Source organism: Homo sapiens, chromosome 2, assembly GCF_000001405.40.
Source record: "Homo sapiens chromosome 2, GRCh38.p14 Primary Assembly".
Classification (NCBI taxonomy): Eukaryota; Metazoa; Chordata; class Mammalia; order Primates; family Hominidae; genus Homo; species Homo sapiens.
The window spans coordinates 109,087,772-109,105,992 of record NC_000002.12 but is presented as its reverse complement, the minus strand read 5'-3'; the positions used below and the strand labels follow the sequence as shown (position 1 = coordinate 109,105,992).

General features: G+C 43.4%; 1 protein-coding gene across 1 annotated transcript in view, besides 2 other annotated features; it reads right to left on the bottom strand.

Moving 5' to 3' along the window:
• RANBP2 (RAN binding protein 2) overlaps nucleotides 1-18,221 on the bottom strand; it is a 1,122,820-nt gene that overhangs the window by 736,309 nt on the left and 368,290 nt on the right. The window lies entirely within an intron of this gene.
• Nucleotides 2,700-3,433: an enhancer, noted in NCBI's record as "OCT4-NANOG hESC enhancer chr2:109719016-109719749 (GRCh37/hg19 assembly coordinates)". NCBI's record gives its function as "activates a minimal SCP1, AML or CMV promoter by ChIP-STARR-seq in naive H9 embryonic stem cells {active_cell/tissue: H9 hESC(naive)}" and the evidence as "EXISTENCE:reporter gene assay evidence [ECO:0000049][PMID:30033119]".
• Nucleotides 17,059-17,266: a silencer, noted in NCBI's record as "fragment chr2:109705183-109705390 (GRCh37/hg19 assembly coordinates)". NCBI's record gives its function as "represses an EF-1alpha promoter that drives an FKBP-Casp9 reporter gene in an ReSE screen in K562 erythroleukemia cells {active_cell/tissue: K562}" and the evidence as "EXISTENCE:reporter gene assay evidence [ECO:0000049][PMID:32094911]".

Sequence of the window (18,221 nt, the reverse complement as noted above, 5' to 3'; positions counted from 1 at the left end):
AGTCCCAGCTACTCAGGAGGCTGAGGCAGGAGAATTGCTTGAACCTGGGAGGCAGAGGCTGCAGTGAGCCGAGACTGTGCCACTGCACTCCAGCCTGGGCGACAGAGCGTGATTCCATTTCAAAAAAAAAAAAAAAAAGACCAGGCGCGGTGGCTCACGCCTGTAATCCCAGCACTTTGGGAGGCCAAGATGGGTGGATCATCAGGTCAGGAGTTCGAGACCAGCCTGACCAACATGATGACACCCCGACTCTACTAAAAATACAAAAAAATTAGCTGGGCGTGGTGGCGCATGCCTGTAATCCCAGCTACTCAGGAGGCTGAAGCAGGAGAATCGCTTGAACCTGGGAGGCAGAGGTTGCAGTGAGCTGAGATTGCGCCACTGTACTCCAGCCTGAGCAACAGAGCAAGACTTCATCTTAAAAAGAAAAGGAAAAAAAATAAAGAGTTTTAGAGCAGGAATGAAAGGAAGTAAAGTATACCTGGAAGGTGGTCAAACAGGTGACCTAAGCGATCCAAGTGTGCTGTTCGGCCCTCAACTTGGGGTTGTCTACATTGCATGATTCCAGGATTTGCATTGCTTCTCCCCTGATTCTTCCCTTGAGGTAGGTTGTCCACATGCACAGTGGCCTGCCAGCACTTGGGAAGGGCCGTATGTGCAATGTGTTTACTGAAGTTGTGTGCATGCTCATTTGAGGCACTTTTCCCTTCCCAGTCAAGTGTTCCTAGAGGAAGGTCATATATCGGTTAAATTCCACCGTTTTGCCTCTTAATGCACATGCTTGAGTCCACTTGCCCAACTCTTGAAATCTTATTGGGAAGTGGCTTGATCACAGCTTCAGGTGTTTTCTATCCATTGGGAGAGTGCCTTTCCCTGGTGCCAGCTGCGACCAATTATTGTTTTAGAGAGACAGTTTAACAACTACCTGACCATCACCTTATGGTCACCCACCAACATTCCTTGGCAGGGTTGGGGGGACCCTCTCCTGCCCTGCTCATGTCTACCTAGCTACCTACTCTAACAGTAGTTTACAGGTCCTTCATCTGCAAACCGGGGTCATGACAGTGCCTCCCTCATGCAGTTGTGAAGCCTAGATGAGTTGATGTACACAAAGCACTTTTAACTGTATCTAGTCAACAGCAAGCTTTCCATATGCATAACCATGATGTTTGCTGTTACCATTGTAAACCAAAAATAAAAACCTAATCCCGGCTGGGCACGGTAGCTCACGCCTGTAATCCCAGCACTTTGGGAGGCCGAGGTGGGCGGATCACGAGGTCAGGAGATCAAGACCATCCTGGCTAACAAGGTGAAACCCCCGTCTCTACTAAAAATACAAAAATTAGCCTGGCATGGTGGCGGGCGCCTGCAGTCCCAGCTACTCAGGAGGCTGAGGCAGGAGAATGGCACGAACCCGGGAGGCGGAGCTTGCAGTGAGCCGAGATTGCGCCACTGCACTCCAGCCTGGGCGACAGAGCGAGACTCCGTCTCAAAAAAAAAAAGAAACATAAAACAACCAAAAAAAAAACCTAATCCCTCCCCTCAACCGCTGAACGGACCCCTCTCTCGGTCAAAAAGACCCAAAGAAACCTGAAAAACTGTTCATTCCACGATGGGAAGGGAGATTAGACATGCCTCCTTATATGCCCTCTTCCCTTTGGAGCATACATACAGATGACCAGCATTAACATTAAACTAGAGATCCTAAGACTGACACAACAGATTTTGTAGCAATAAGATACTGAATTCCAGCATGACTGTGGTATAACATCACATGACAGATAGCAGGCCCTGAAGGAAATCAAAGCATTTTACCCCCAAATATATTTCTTTGACATATTTTGAAACGACCCTGCAAAGCTGTCTCTTGTGGGAAAAATTTTCATCTGTAAAGAATCTTCGCCGAAATGGTGGCTCATGCCTGTAATCTCAGCACTTCGGGAGGCCGAGGCGGGCGGATCATGAGGTCAGGAGATGGAGACCATCCTGGCTAACATGGTGAAACCCTGTCTCTACTAAAAAATACAAAAAATCAGCTGGGTGTGGTGGCGGGCGCCTGTAGTCCCAGCTACTTTGGAGGCTGAGGCAGGAGAATGGTGTGAACTCAGGAGGCAGAGCTTGCAGTGAGCTGAGATTGCGCCACTGCACTCCAGCCTGGGCGACAGAGCAAGACTCCATCTCAAAAAAAAAAAAAGAAAAGAAAAAGAAAAAGAATCTCTATTCACATAACTAGATCTTTCCCCTTCCAGGCCCTCGCAGTCCTGAAGAGATTAGCTGAGAGTCTAGCACCTTTTAAAGGTCTGAACAGGAAACATTTGCTATTTATTGCCTCTAACGGAGTTCACCTAGAGATTTCACCTATGTAACAAGAAGCTTGGCTTCCATAACCGCCGCCTTATCTTAACCCCAAGCATTTCTTTCTGCTGACTTCAACTCTTTAGATAATAACTCTTTCAACCAACTGCTGATCAGAAAATCTTTGAATCCACCTGTGAGCCCCCACCCCACCCGCCTTCCAGTTGTCCCACCTTTCAGGACCGAATGTATACCTCACACGGATTGATTGAAGTCTTATGTCTCCATGGGTTATAGCTTGGTTTTATATATTTTAGGGAGACATAAGGCATCAATCAATACATATGAGGTATACATTGGGCACACGTTCTCAGGACCTCCTTAGGCTGTGTCAGAAGTCTTGGTCCTCATGTTTGGCTCAGAATAAATCTCCTTAAATATTTTACAGAGTTCAACTGTTTTCATCAACACCATCACGGTAGTTATAACGTTAGGGCAGAGCTGAGGCTGAACTCAAGGTGCCTGCCTTTCCTTCCACTTTGATGTTTTTTCCTCCCACCAGGGGACTCGTCAGCCAGGGAGCAGACAGCTGAGCCACTTGCTTAAGCCAAGCACAGTGCTGCACACACGTGGTGCTCAGTAAATGTTACTTTCTTCTTCTTTAGTTATGCAGCTCACTGTTTGCTGCCACCTGCTTGCTCCTTCCCTTTACTAAAGCGACCTGAGTGTTTTATGAGACTCTCAGCTGCGTTGCAATCCGCTCCTCTCACCCATTTGCAGCACCCCACTTCCCAAAGCCGTTTCTTAGAACAAAGCAATTCATTAAATAATTTACAGCAATACATTTGTTCTCTCAGCAGGTACTTAAGTAGCTCCCATTATTCTCTGCTACTTGCCACCTCTTCTGAAGTTTAAAGTTCTTAAACAGCAGAGAGTAGAACACCCTGCACTTAGGCTGCTGATGGGCTGGGGCTCTCCTTCCTCTCCCTTCCTCATCCTCCCTCTCCCCCAAGGCTCTGCCAGATGCGTTTTGACAGATGATAGGCTTTTGAGAAAAATAGCTCTAGATCATTGATATTATTATTCCTAACTACCGAAGAGTTATGTCAAGGGAGAAAAATATCTAAGTGCTATTCTCGCCTCATTAAATTATCTGAGTATTTTGAGATTAAAGGTTAAAGAGAACTTGGCAGAATTTTTCCTTTTAAGACACATTCTGCGATGCTTTTATTTTAGTTTTTTTCTTTTCTTCATTTTTTTTTTTTTGAAGCGGAATTCTTTTAAAAATATACATGGGCAGCCGGGCGCGGTGGCTCACACCTGTAATCCCAGCACTTTGGGAGGCCGAGGCAGGCGGATCACGAGGTCTGAAGATCAAGACCATCCTGGCTAACACGGTGAAACCCCGTCTCTACTAAAAATACAAAAAATTGGCCAGGCATGGTGGCAGGCGCCTGTAGTCCCAGCTACTCAGGATGTTGAGGCAGGAGAATGGCGTGAACCCAGGAGGCGGAGCTTGCAGTGAGCCAAGATTGTGCCACTGCAGTCCAGCCTGGGCGACAGAGCGAGACTCTGTCTCAAAAAAATAAAAAATAAATAAAAATAATAAAATAAAAATATACATTGTGCCACTCCTAAGGTTTTGCAGGAGTGGGGGCAGGCTACTTTATACACCTTTTGGATTTTTGTTATGATCGTTAGAAACTGAAGATGGAGATTTCACCCTGATCCACCTGAGAGCTGTCAAGCATCCAGCTAGAGGATGGCTGGGCATCCAGGTTGCTCAGGCTTCCAGCCTCTGAAAGCACTTATCGAATCCACTTTCAGATATAAAACTGGGCTCACCAGCGCCTAAAACACTCAAGCAACCAAGTGTTTCCCTGAATTTGAGGCAACTCCATCCTCTGCATCACCCCCTGCTCGGCTCTCTCCGGCAGTCTCCAGTAGGGCTTGTCTTTCCTCCTGTTGCTCTGTCCTTTTATCTTCTCAACCCTACTTCCACAACAAATCTCTCCTTCCTTCTCTTGTTTTCACTATTTCTGCTTCTGGATCTTTATCTTTGTAACATTGTGTTATGCACAGTAACTATGGGAATACTGTTGATGGATTGCACAGTATGGGGTTTTTGTTGTTGTTGTTTTTGGGTTTTTTTGTTTTGTTTTGTTTTTTTGAGACAGAGTCTCGCTCTGTAGCCCAGGCTGGAGTGCATTGGGGTGATCTCGGCTCAACTACAAGCTCCACCTCCCGAGTTCCCGCCATTCTCCTGCCTCAGCCTCCCGAGTAGCTGGGACTACAGGTGCCCGCCACCACCTCTGTCTGATTTTTTGTATTTTCAGTAGAGACGGGGGTTTCACCGTCTTAGCCAGGATGGTCTTGATCTCCTTACCTCGTGATCTGCCTGCCTCGGTCTCTCAAAGTGCTGGGATTACAGGCATGAGCTACCACGCCCGGCCCACTATGGGGTTTTTCTACATTTTTATTTTTATGAAAGTAATATACGTCCAAGGCAATGCATGAACTACAAGAGAGCGCCTAGTATGGAAGTGGCAGCCTGCACTTCCCTGCAGCCTCCCACTCGGGCCACTCCCACTGTGTCTGTTTCCCTTTCTACTCACCTCTAGTTCTTGACTCTGAACCCAGGCAGTTACCTGAAATTATAACAAGGGTGTAGTACCCACCCCTTGAACCCCGCCACTCCTCACTTCCTCTTCTCCCATCGTGATATTGCACCATTGGATTTTTGTTCTTCAATTGGTTAGCTGGATAACATTGCACAATTGACTTAAATCTCTGCTTGCATTCCTAACCACACTGGCAACAGGGTTAAGCTCTGGGCTTGTGAGCTGGATGTCAGCAGCCTTACTTTGTGCTTACCTTTTCTTTAAACCATGAATTTCTGGACTTCTTTTTTTTCCCTGGAAGTCCTTATTGTCTCCCTTTTTCTTACATTATTTGCCTTTATTATAACTTCAATTCTTTTTCAAGCACTATATCATAAAATTTATTTGTGAGGTCCTTCCTCTCCCCTAGAGACCTCCCTGGGGAGACCATCCATTCCTACTTCAGATTGCCCCTGACTTTCTCTCCAGGCGGGTCCACTACCGTCACCTTTGGACTTCTTAATGCTCTTCTGGGGTAGAGCCCCTGTTTCCTTCCTCTTTCTTGGTTTATTCCCTCATCTGGTTAGAGAAGTGGCCCCTAACCTTTTTGGCATCAGGGACCAATTTTGTGGAAGATAATTTTTCCACGGACTGAGATGGGGGTTGGGGGATTGTTTCAGGATGAAACTGTTCCACCTCAGATCATCAGGCATTGGATTCTTATAAGGAGATTGCAACCTAGATCCCTCGCTTGCACAGCTCATAATAGGGTTCACACTCCTATGAGAATCTAATGCCCTGCTGATCTAACAGGAGGCAGACCTCAGGCAGTAATGCTCACTTGCCTGCCATTTACCTCCTGCTGTGTGGCCTGGTTCCTAACAGGCCACAGACTGGTACTGGCCCATGCCTCAGGAGCTGGGGACCCCTGCGTTAGAGAATATCCTCAAGAATTCCTAAGAAAGAATGCATGAGATGTAAACTATCTATTAATTATCTATTAATCTCCCCTCACACTTGATAGGTTGAACACTATTTTCTGGGACTTCTGGGTTCTGCAATAGAATAATCTATTTTACTGAAATACTGTCTCTCTATAAATTCTAGAAAATCTAGATACAATATCACAAACATTATCAGATTTGAAGAATAAAGTGGAAACTGAAAACCAAAGTGGTTATAGATGACCCGCCATGAACACCAAGAGTTTTAGTGATCACATGGAGACAGCAGGTTTAGAACCCCCAGTACTTAAGAGGATGACAAACTGAAAAAGAATATAAAATAGGTATGATTAAAAAAACAAAAATGATAGTTAAAACTCAAAGAAAAGAAAAAGTATGCAAAAACGATGTGGACTCCTGGCTCCGCTAGGGATATAGGAGGCTGGAAAGAGCAGTTTTCCCACTCCCCACCCCTCACCTCCACCCCTTATAAGAGCCACAGCAACAACAGTGAGAAATAAAAATAAAATCCCAAGGCTCTCAGCTAACTGAATGGACCCCCGCTTGTCAAGGGGACCTCAGAGAAACCTTAAAAACTGAGTTCTGGGCCAGGACAGGAAGGGAGGTCAGCACGCCTTGCTGTACGCCACCTTGCTAACCACCATTAGACTTCCCTTCCTAAGGGTTAAACCAAACCCAGCCCTTTGGAGAGACTTGCTCCACTGTTGATTTACACAACAACTGACCAGCATTCCCTCTGCTAAGAGACCACCGACCCGAAGTGGACTGGATCTGGCTGGTTTACAGAGACTGAGCACAGGATGCCTCTGTCCTCTGTTTTACCTGTTGACATATAGAGCCTAATTTTACTGCATTTAAACATTAAGTTAATGTTTACTGCATCGAGTGTTAAGTCTCCGCCCAAAGTGAACATGGGATGTATGTAACACGCATGTGTTCTTAACTATGCACACGCCCCACCTTGTGAATATTCATAGCTCCTCCTGTAACCTGATAAATAAGTACACTTAGCCAACCCGTTGGGTATACATTCCTGTTCCACTCGTTCCTTTCTCAAAGTGCCTGCTTATTATGGTCTCTGCCAGAGGCCATGCTTCCAAACCTACTGCGTGGCTAGCCTGCAGGCTGCAACCCTTTGTGAGAAATAAAGCCCTCCTTTCCAAATGTATGAACCTCATGATTCTTCAGTTGACAACAACAAAACAAACTCAGAGCAATCTACAACTTCACAACTTTTCCTGAACCCATCTGAGATTTGAGATTGGAGGGCAGCCAAATAACCGGGTATTACAGGAAATACAGTCACTTCCCAGGACAGACAGACACAGATACTTGCTTACCTGCGTCAGAGGCCCCAGGATACTGGTAAGGATTCTGCTAAAATACATGATGCATTGCTAACAGTGGGCAAAGGACAAAATTACAGTACATTTAACTTCAAGGTGTCAATTGGCTTTATTGTGACTATAGGATTGGGCAACACTCCATTCCATGAAATAGGATGTGTTCCAATGAGCTGAGTTTGGTTTTATAAACAGACAAAGGGTTGAAGAAAGCAGAAACAAAGAACAAAGAGTGTATCAGTCATCTTAAAGCTACTTTTCTTGTAAAAGGAGAACAGGGAGTCAGGACAATAGGAAAATAACTAATCAGTGACCATCAGGTTCTGCTTCTTTTGTGTGAGGATTAATGGAAAGGAAACCTCATTGTCACACCCACTGGAGATTGAGACTGGCTTATTCAGAAAACTGGCTGTTATCTCTCTCCAATTTCTTGGAGGGTCAGATAACAACTTAGTTTGGGTTTGGTGATATGGAGCTTTAGCATGAGTGATTCCATGTTGATTTTCAGCGTGGACTGCTGGGGACTTGTACATGAGTTTAGTTCAAAACAGTGGCCTTCTAAAATTTTTGCCCAACAAGGCTTAGTGTGGGTTAGCCAGAGCAGGCAGATTTAGGAAGGATTTGGACCTACTTTGCAGGCTCTCTCCACCTCCTTCCACTTGGGTGCTCACACAACTGTGATAGAGTCCTGAGGAAGGGATCCTGGTGATGCGGCCACCAAGGGAAATGCCCAGAACCTGCCCTGCTCCCTCACCCTGTTCCTGCCACAGAGCAAAAGCTTTGCCTTCCAGGGGAAGGGCAACACAGTCCGTGGCCTTTATGGTACTGGTGAAGCCCTACTGCAGCCTGGTCAAGGGAATGGAAAAAGTCCTCCATCCGTGGTGAGACAGGAAGACATGCTGGACCCAGAACCAAGGCAGGCAGGATCCCTAAGATCTCAGTCAGAACCATGGAACATGCCTGTCCCCGACCACCTTGAAGCAAGCAGGCCTACAGGGACAGGGTGGGAGTGTGAAGACACACACACACACACACACACACACACACACACACCCTAAGCACATCATATTTAAACATATATTAAAATCTAAGACAAAGAGAAAATCTCCAAGGCAGCCTGAGTAAAAAAACACATTACACATAGGAAAAAAAAAAAAGACTATAATGGACCTCTTGTCAAGAAACTATGGTAGCCAAAAGACAACACAATGACATATTTTCAACTGTCACACTATACACAAAATAAATTTCAGATGGATTGTAATTCTAAATACGAAAGGCAAGCAATAAGGCTTCTGAAAGACTATCTCCTTGACCTTAGAATAAGCAGATTTTTTTTTTTGGTCTTCTTTGTTTGTTTGTTTTTTTGCAGGACACTGGAGTTTTATTATTACTCAAGCTAGTCTCCCTGAACATTCAGGGATCAGAGGTTTTGTTTTGTTTTGTTTTGTTTTGTTTTGTTTTGTTTTGTTTTTTGTTTTGTTTTTGAGATGGAGTCTCACTCTGTCAGCAGGCTGGAGTGCAGTGGCGCGATCTCACCTCACTGCAACCTCCACCTCCCGGGTTCAAGCGATTCTCCTGCCTCAGCCTACCAAGTAGCTGGGACTACAGGCACGTGCCACCACGCCCAGCTAATTTTTGTAGTTTTAGTAGAGACGGGGTTTCACCATGTTGGCCAGGATGGTCTCGATCTCTTGACCTCATGATCCGCCCACCTCGGCCTCTGAAAGTGCTGGGATTACAGGCGTGAGCCACCGTGCCTGGCCCAGAGTTTTTATGTATAATTTGGTGGGTGGGGGGAAGCCAGTGAGCTAAGAGTGCTGATTGGTTAGAGACGGAATCACAGGGAGTCAAAGCTGTCTTCTTGTGCTGAGTCTCGTGCAGAGTCATCCAGTTTCTGGATGGGGGCCACAAGATCATATGAGCAAGTTTATCAATCTGGGTAGTGCCAGCTGATCCATCAACTGTAGGGTCTGAAAAAAAAAAAAAGCGTTTCCAAAAAAAAAGCTGTAAATAGAAAAGTTTTCTTGGCTCTGGAAAACAAAAAAGGATCGCCAGCATTTTGAGCAAAAAAAGCAAAAAAAATATTAGTTCAATTTTCTATTAGTTCAGTCCATTCATTTAACTCCTATTCTACTTGATATTCATGAACATTTCAGCTCTCCATGAGAGTCCTGACAGTTTTTTTCCTTTATTCTAATGTCATAATCTCCAAAGTTAACAGAAACTTGCATTTAAGAGCACCTGTCAAAAGTTTTGTAACTGATTATAAAACCATCTTCTCAAGAGGACCAAAATGGGACAACAATTGTCTGTGGATGACAAAAACATTTTAGGGCAGCCACAGTCAAAGACACAATTGACAAGGAAATTTGTTACTTCTGTGGCACACAATAATTTAACATAACAATTATAATTCTTACTGACAATATATACTGAACCATATTAGAATTATAGGAATCTTATACAATTTTGTAACACATACTAATAACATATTTATATGAATATAACCCAAAGAAAGTTAAACACCATCTTATATTCAATAATGTTTCCTGTATGGTTTTGATACATTAAATAAGCCTAATGTCTTTTTGGACTTTAGGGAACCTAATCAATTACTTTTTAAATTTAGAATTTGATCCTGTAAGGTTTATCAAATATCAGAGGTGTAAAACACTAGATATCACAAAATAGAATCTCACATCACCGTAAGTCATTCATTTAGTTAAAATGGTACCTCAAAAATTTTAAAAAAAGAAAAACCTTTACTCTGGTAGGAGACTCAGCTTTCCAAACAACAAGACCCAATGAGGGCAGCATGAAGCCAACAAAGTCTGTCTCTTCTCTCACCTCCCGTTTTTCCCTGCCATTTACCCAAAGGAGCAAACAAAAACCTTTCATTATCTTTTAATATTACATAAAAATATTTTCAAAAGAGAAAACCAAATTTTATTTTTGCATTAGTGCCTTTTTAATGCTAAGGCTAGTTTTTAAATAAAATTTTATAAATCTATACAGTTTCAATTAGTGTGACCATAAAGTAAAATTTTCATAAACCTTTTAGAACCCTTTACAATTTTCTGTTAAACAGCAGATGAATTTTCTAAGAAACCCCTGTTGTTTGGACACATGGGCCCCAATTATGGCCCCCTATGTTAGTGTGCTTTCATTTTAATGTTCAGAATTAAATAATCCCCTTCAAATCTTAGCCAACTTGCTCAACCGTTGCTCAAGTTGGTCTTGAACTTTCTTTACAAGACCAACCCTTCACAAACCCCTTTCACCTTGCTTAAACCTTCAGTTTTGTCCCACTACTCTTTTAGGTTAAGACAATTTTTAAAACCCTCTGAATTAGACAAAATTACATTCCCTTTAACAAAAATCATATTCCCATGCCTTCTTGTAATCTTTTACCAAAAACACATTCTATTTTCCCTACACATTGTATGTAAAACTGTTTCTCCAGTAGTCTCGATTATATGTTACAATGTAACTCTTAGCAACTTTTATTTTTGGTGAAAAACCTGATAAGTAAGCCATTTTAATTATGTACTAGGGGTGGAGCCCAGGCTATCAGACGAAGTGAAGATAAGGTCTGACTCTTTCCAGCATAACTAGCGGGGGAATGACTAACTCCACATGTTCCCAGGCCTTATCTAGAGTCTAATGCTCCAAAGTAGGTAAATTGAACAATTTTCAAAAGTCAAGGAAGCAGTTTATGACCTTAAAGCATTTAGCAAATCTGATATCTGACCTTAATTTAGAACATTTCTAAATTTCTACATTTCGAAGACATTTTATTTTACCAATAATCTTTAAAACTGTATTTTTAAAAGATTACTAAAGTCACGTGAACAAAATACATTAAATTTCTATTTTTCTGACAAAATATTTGATTTAGTGCTTATTTTTCCAAGCCAATTAATCAGTTGTTTTTTTGTTTGTTTGTTTGTTTGTTTGAGATGGAGACTTGCTCTTGTCACTCAGGCTGGAGTGCAATGACATGATCTCGGCTCACCGCAACCTCCACCTCTCGAGTTGAAGTGATTCTCCTGCCTCAGCCTCCTGAATAGCTGGGATTGCAGGCACCCACCACTATGCCTAGCTAATTTTTGTACTTTTAGTAGAGACAGGGTTTCGTCATGTTGGCCAGGCTGGTCTTGAACTCCTGACCTCAAGTGATCTGCCCACTTCAGCCTCCCAAAGTGCTGAGAACACAGGTGTGAGCCACTGCGCCTGGCCCAGCTTTTTTTATATAAACATCACACACACAACACATATAAATACTCAGAAGATCCAGTAGTTGTAAGATTTCTCATTTGCCAGTTTCTTAATTGGATTACTGGCTTCAGGGTGGAGCCCTTGGAGGAACAGGTCCAGGAAAGCATGCAGTTTCTAGGGCCTAATAAGCAGGCACAGCTGGAAGAAAGATCCCCAAAATTAAGGGTGCCCTTTTATACATAATACCGGATCCCCAAAAAGGAGGGAAATACTACGGGAGAAGATAGTGCAGTGCTTCTATCATGCATTTTGTTTCAAGGCAACGCAAAGCCAATCAGCCCATTATGTAATCAGCCCATCCCCCATGATAGTCTCATCTCTCATTGGGGGCTGGGGATGTTTCCATATTTTCTAGGTGGCCAAGAGCTTGCTTCTCTAACTGAAATATCAAAGAGCTGAGTATCCCCCCATAACTGCCATTAACCATCCCCAAAAGTATATTTCCTAACTAGTTATTACACACTAAGTTTCTCTCGTAATGCGGAGTAATTTCTGATACCCACAAAAGTCAAAACTGTCAGCTAATACAATGCAAAACAGAACAGAGCCTTAGATTTTGAGAGGGATATATTCTCTTTCAATTCCTGGGCTTCTGTGAGAATAACAGAGGTTTTCCCAGAATGGGGTTTGTGGTGCTGCCTCTGATTTTCCCCAGGAGTCCCAGGCTGTTAGTAATTATCTTAGGTTTTCTCATATGGGCATCAAGAGTGGCAAGAAGACAAAACGGAGAAGAACAATTCAGTGTACTGAGAAGAAAAAATATTTTCAGAAAAATGCAATTCAAGAAGAGAAAAAATATAAAGGCCTTTTAAATACATATAGCTTGTATATCAGTTTTTAACTAAACTGATTTTAACCATAGAGCTCTTTTTTCTTAAAAAAAAATCTTTTTAAATCTCTTATTACCAGACTCTAGCCAGGACAGCCAATATTTCTGGCTTTTAAATTCTACCACAGATAACTTCCCACATGAAATTAATAAGTTTTAACTAAGGTATATGATAACTTACCCATGGACACATAAGGTGTCTCAAAGTGATGGTAAGCAGTTTATTTCTTTGCTTTTTTCTTTTTTTTTCTTTCTTTTTTTTTTTTTTTTTTTACAAATCTCCGCAAACGTGGTTTAGAGAAAGGAAAATCTATCCAAGACAAGGAATCAGAAGTTATTTCTTGGTTGTGGGGGTGGGGAACCTTAATAAATGACAAAGTTACATAAATAACAAACCAGAAAGTATTCACTCCAGAAGCCAAGAATTGAACCTGGGCCACCATTGTGAAAAGACAAACCCTTAGCTACTGAGCTACACAGCATTGAGCCGTTTCTATTGCTCTTCCCAGAAGAAGTCTAGGGCAGCCAATTTCATTCCTGCAAAGGTTCTTAACTGCTCAAGATAACTTTTAGGGCTAACTATGACATGAACCCCAAAATTGCTGTCCTCTGGATGGCAGAAACCAAGAAGTATCCCCACATGGTCACAAGGTTAAGGATACAAAACAAGACAGAGAAATCTCATCTGGTATTGGTTTCAGGGATCCATAGCAAAGTTTGTAACTGACCAGCCTGCCAGGCTAGCTTGAAAAGCAGCCTAATAGGGGTCCTAAATCCACGTTCTATCCTGTGATACTCCTCTCTCCATTACAGAACAACACAGAAAGACAAATTCTTAGCACAAAGTACAGCAGATTTGCTACAGCCTAAGACTAGTCACACAAATCCTTTTTTCTATTAATCAAACCCTTGCAGAGGAAACAAATCATAATGTTTAACATTTACACAGACAGAGAGAGAGAAACCAGAAACTTGGCTGGCAAGAATTTCCTACCCTTTTTGTTGGCATACCAGGTTTCCAGGTTCCCTTTCTCTGTAGATTCCAGAACAACAGACTGGCTTTTGATGACCCTGCTCCCTGTGCCATAGCTGTAGGGTTCAAGCCACTTTACAAAAGAAAATCACCCTTTTCTGTTTTATGGAAATGTAGGTAAAAGATTCTCAATTTTGCAAGGTGTTGACCAATGGGCTGCATGGGAAACCAAATGAACATTTTCTATCCCAGCAAAATATACATAACAAAACAGACACTAGTCACCTCATTCAGCACCCAATATCAACCTGGCAAAGCTCAAACTTCTTCTGATTGGTCTCTGTTGTCTTTGATCCACTCCAGGTGGGGAGGGATGACCTCAGGATGGTAATTCACAATGGGGTCTCTGGGCAAAGCAAAGAGCAGATAGTCACCCTGAGACAGGCCTGTTGCGCTTACCAAAAGACAGGCCTGTTCCTCAGGGCTTACTAATTGTGACCAGACAAATTAGGAGGGTCCTCTGAGTTAGGACTGCTAGATTTCCATCAGCAGTTCCTTCTGAGATCCCCTCCACATACACAGACACACACAAAAATGAGACAGACAGAAGGCCTTCCAAATCAGATCCCTAACCAAGAACTCCAAGATTATCCCTCCCAAACTATCCTCCTATATTCCATCTGAGAAATCTCCTCAGATCTTCCTGATTCAGGAGAAGTCTCCTGAACCAAGACTCTTCCTACTAGTTAGGGAGAGCCAACTGAGACCTCCCCAGGAGACAAACTGAGACAGATGACACTCGGTGGTGGAGCTACAAACAGACATCCCACAATGGGGCTACAGACACCCCACCATGAGGTTACAGACAGATACCCTGTGATAGGGCTATAGTTAAGGGACATCTTCCCAGGACTATTTCTGTATTGCAATTAAATCCATGCACATTGGGTCAGCAGTGCCCCACCAGTAGACAGTACCAGAGCCAGCCCCTAGTCCAAGAGAACTAGGAGGCCTCTTGGGCTGGCCTCCGGATCCATTGCTGGAGGGGGCTACCAAACCATGGGCAGGTAGCCACAGGGGCAATCCGGGACAAGCTCCCAAATTTGTTAACTGCCCAATGGGTTCACCTTGCCCACTGCCTAGACAGAGCCGATTTTATCAAGGCAGGGGAATTGCAATAGAGAAAGAGTAATGCACGCAGAGCTGGCTGTACAGAAGACTGGAGTTTTATTATTACTCAGATCAGTCTCCAGGATGTTTTTAACATGATAGGAAAACTAACTACAAAAGAAAAATACATAAAATCCATTAAAACTAGAAGCTTCTAATCAGGGGCAGGACTAAAACAGAGGGAGCAGTGATGAGACACAAAATGTAAAAGGAGAGGACACCAAAAATATGCAGAGGATTCCTATTTTAGTACAAGATTAATCTATTTTTATTTTTAAATTTTATTTTATTTTATTTTATTTATTAAGAGACAGAATCTTGCTCTGTTGTCCAGGCTGGAGTGCAGTGGTGCCATCACAGCTCACTGTAGCCTCAAACTCCCAGGCTCAAGCAATCCTCCCGCCTCATCTCTGGAGTAGCAGGGACTACAGGCGTGTACCACCATGCCTGACTATTTTACTTTTTTATTTTTTGTAGAGATCAGGGTCTCACAATATTTATTTTAAAGCTCAGAATTAATGCAAAAGGTCCATGATGAACAAAATATCAAAGCTTTAAATAAAAACGATCAGCTTTCTCAAAATCAGAGTGAGGTGGCATGGAGGAAGGAACATCTGATGGCAGGTTGTGGGAAAATTGTATGAAAAAATAGTGTGCTGTATTGAGTAGAGGATGGAAATCAATGATATATATAAGTTTGACTGGAAATTTAAGAAGTGAACTCTTATTACTGTTATCTAAAAAAATTATTATTTGAAAAATATTTTTAATAGTTCTACGCTTAGCTAAGTATTAGGGCCCTGAAGAAATTCACTGAAGAAAACAATTTTAACAAGTCTAATAAATAAAAATAAAGCCCCAAAATATTAAAAATTAAAGCAACTAATTAAATAAATGAAATCAAGATTGGACAGAACTGGGATTAAAATGAGGCCCCCTTCGTGCCTGTTAGATCCTGTAAGGAAAAAAACAGTGATTTTGCTCCAGAAGCTGGAGAGTCTCCTAGGGTCTCGATGCTCGTCATGAGGAGGTGGATGCCAGCCTGATTCTCATTCCCTTGTAAAGGACTTATTTTTGTTGTTTCAACTTTATTTAATTTCTGACTTTTGCTTTTTATCTTGCTAGGGACTTTTCATAGGCTCTTTGCACTTAATATTCTGAAAATTCCATAGACGTGGTGTGTGTGTGTGTGTGTGTGTGTGTGTGTGTGTGTGTGTGTGTGTGTGAGGCGAGGTGTCCTACAACCCCACAATTCTGATTTTAGGAACCAACCCTGGAACACTCCCTGCCTCCACATGCACCAAGATGAGCATAAGGACAGAGTACCATTGGCAGCAGGTGGACACCCTGTTGCCCTTCAGGACAAAACCCAGGTCTGAAAGTTCTAAGCTTTCACTCCTCTGCGCATTTCCTCTTCTGTGTGGTCTCTGTTGTCGCTTTCTGGGACACCTATCAGTCACCTGTCAGGTCGTTTAGGCTGCTCCTTTTTCTCTTATTATGAGAGGGCAACAGTTTGGAGAAGGCATAGAACTATTAAAATTATTTTTCAAATAATAATTTGAACTGCCAGTTTGCATCAGCTGGGAGGAGCCCTTGGTCTAGCAGCAGAGCATGAATTGAATGCTTTGCCTGCCATGCGATGATGCCCTTCTGAATCAGACCCAGTAGTCCCATAGACAGTTCTTTTGGATAAACATAGAAATTGACCCATCTGGTCTTGAAACTTGAAACTTACATTTGTTTTATCTGAGTTCCTTCCTCAGGAAATGACCTCCCAGGCCTCTCAAAAACTATCAAAGAACTGAAACTCAACCAAATCACCACATCCAGACAATGAGATGTCCAACCCCTCATTTTGTTTCCTTATCCCTCCTGAGTTCCTGCTTTCCAACACATGTCCCCACCAGGTTTTTTGTTCTGTTTCTCTTTTAGAGACAAGGTCTTGCTCTGTCGCCCAGGCTGGAGTGCGGTAGTGCCATCACAGCTCACTGAAGCTTTGAACTCCTGGGCTCAAGCAATCCTCGCATCTCAGCCTCCCAAGTAGCTGAGACCACAGTTGTGTACCAACATGCTTGGCTAATTTTTTTTTTTTTTAAATAGAGATGGGGGTCTCACTGTGTTGCTTAGGCTGGTGTGAAATTCCCGGGCTCAAACTATCCTCCCACTTCGGCCTCCCAAAGTGCTGGGATTACAGGCATGAGCCACTGCACCCAGCCAACCCCTGTGTTTTTAACACTGACATATTTTCACACATTCCATCCTCTCCTGCTCTCAGAAAAAAATCCCAGTTGGTTTTACCTTGAATGTTTTTCTCATGATTTATTTCCTCCTGCCCTCACTGGAATTGCTGGTTCCCTCCCCATCCCACCCATCTGGCTCTCCCGAAGGAAGCGTTCTTGTTTGCCTCTCTCTCGCTTTTCCTCCTGTGGGGCTTCCTGTTCACCTTCATTGCTTCCCCTGTTCTTTACTTTTCCCCACTGTGCCCTGAAAGAACTCGAGTTTGCTCCCTACTCTTCTCCCAAAGCCCCTCTTGCTTATGCAGACCTGCTTCTTAAATGTAAAGGGATGCCATCAATTCAGCGATCGCTTTTCATCTTTTGTTTGGGGCTCAACTCTCCCTCCCTTTTATTATAATATCCTCTTGGAACCTGGCATAGATATACCATTTTCTACTTTTTTAACCACAAGAATTACTTTTATTTTTTCTTTTACTAAAGACAGCACTGGCCGGGCATGGTGGCTCACATCTGTAATCCAAGCACTTTGGGAGGCCAAGGCGGGTGGATCACCTGAGGTCAGGAGTTCGAGACCAGCCTGGCCAACATGGTGAAACCCCGTCTCTTCTAAAAATACAAAAATTAGCCAGGTGTGGTGGTGCACGCCTATTGTCCCAGCTACTTGGGAGGCTGAGGCGTGAGAACCTCACGCCTTGAACCCCGGAGATTGCAGTGAGCCAAGATCGTACCACTGCACTCCAGCCTGGGAGACAAAGTGAAACTTTGTCTCAAAAAATATATAATAATAATAAAGACAGCATTGTTTCCTGGCTCCCTACCCTAAAACATCCTAGGTGATTAATTTAACTACCTCTATACCATGTTTTTGTCTCTTTCGCTGCTCTTTTTTTTTTTTTTTTTTTTGAGATGGAATCTTGCTCTGTCACCCAGGCTGGAGTGCAGTGGATCAATCTCGGCTCACTGCGGTCTCCGCCTCCCGGGTTCAAGCGATTCTCCTGCCTCAGCCTCCTGAGTAGCTGGAACTACAGGCGCGCGCCACCATGCCTGGCTAATTTTTGTATTTTTAGTAGAGATGAGGTTTCACCATGTTGGCCAGGATGGTCTTGATCTCTTGACCTTGTGATCCGCCCACCTCGGCCTCCCAAAGTTCTGGGATTACAGGTGTGAGCCACCGTACCCGGCCTAATTTTTGTATTTTTAGTAGAGACGAGGTTTCACCACGTTGACCAGGCTAGTCTCGAGCTCCTGACTTGATGATCCGCCCGCCTTGGCCTCCCAAAGTGCTGGGATTACAGGCGTGAGCCAACGCGCCCGGCCGAAGAAACTAAATTTTAACGGCATTAGACAAGTTGCTCAAGGCCACACAATGGGGGAGCCGGAATTCACAGTCTGGTCTGCCTGGCACCAAGCTGGTGCTAGAACCACCATGCTCTGATTTTTAAGAAGCTGAGCCATGAAATCAACCTCCCACTGTCCTCATGGAGGCTGCCCTGTTCCTGCTCTCCCACTCCTCCAGGGCCCCACCTGC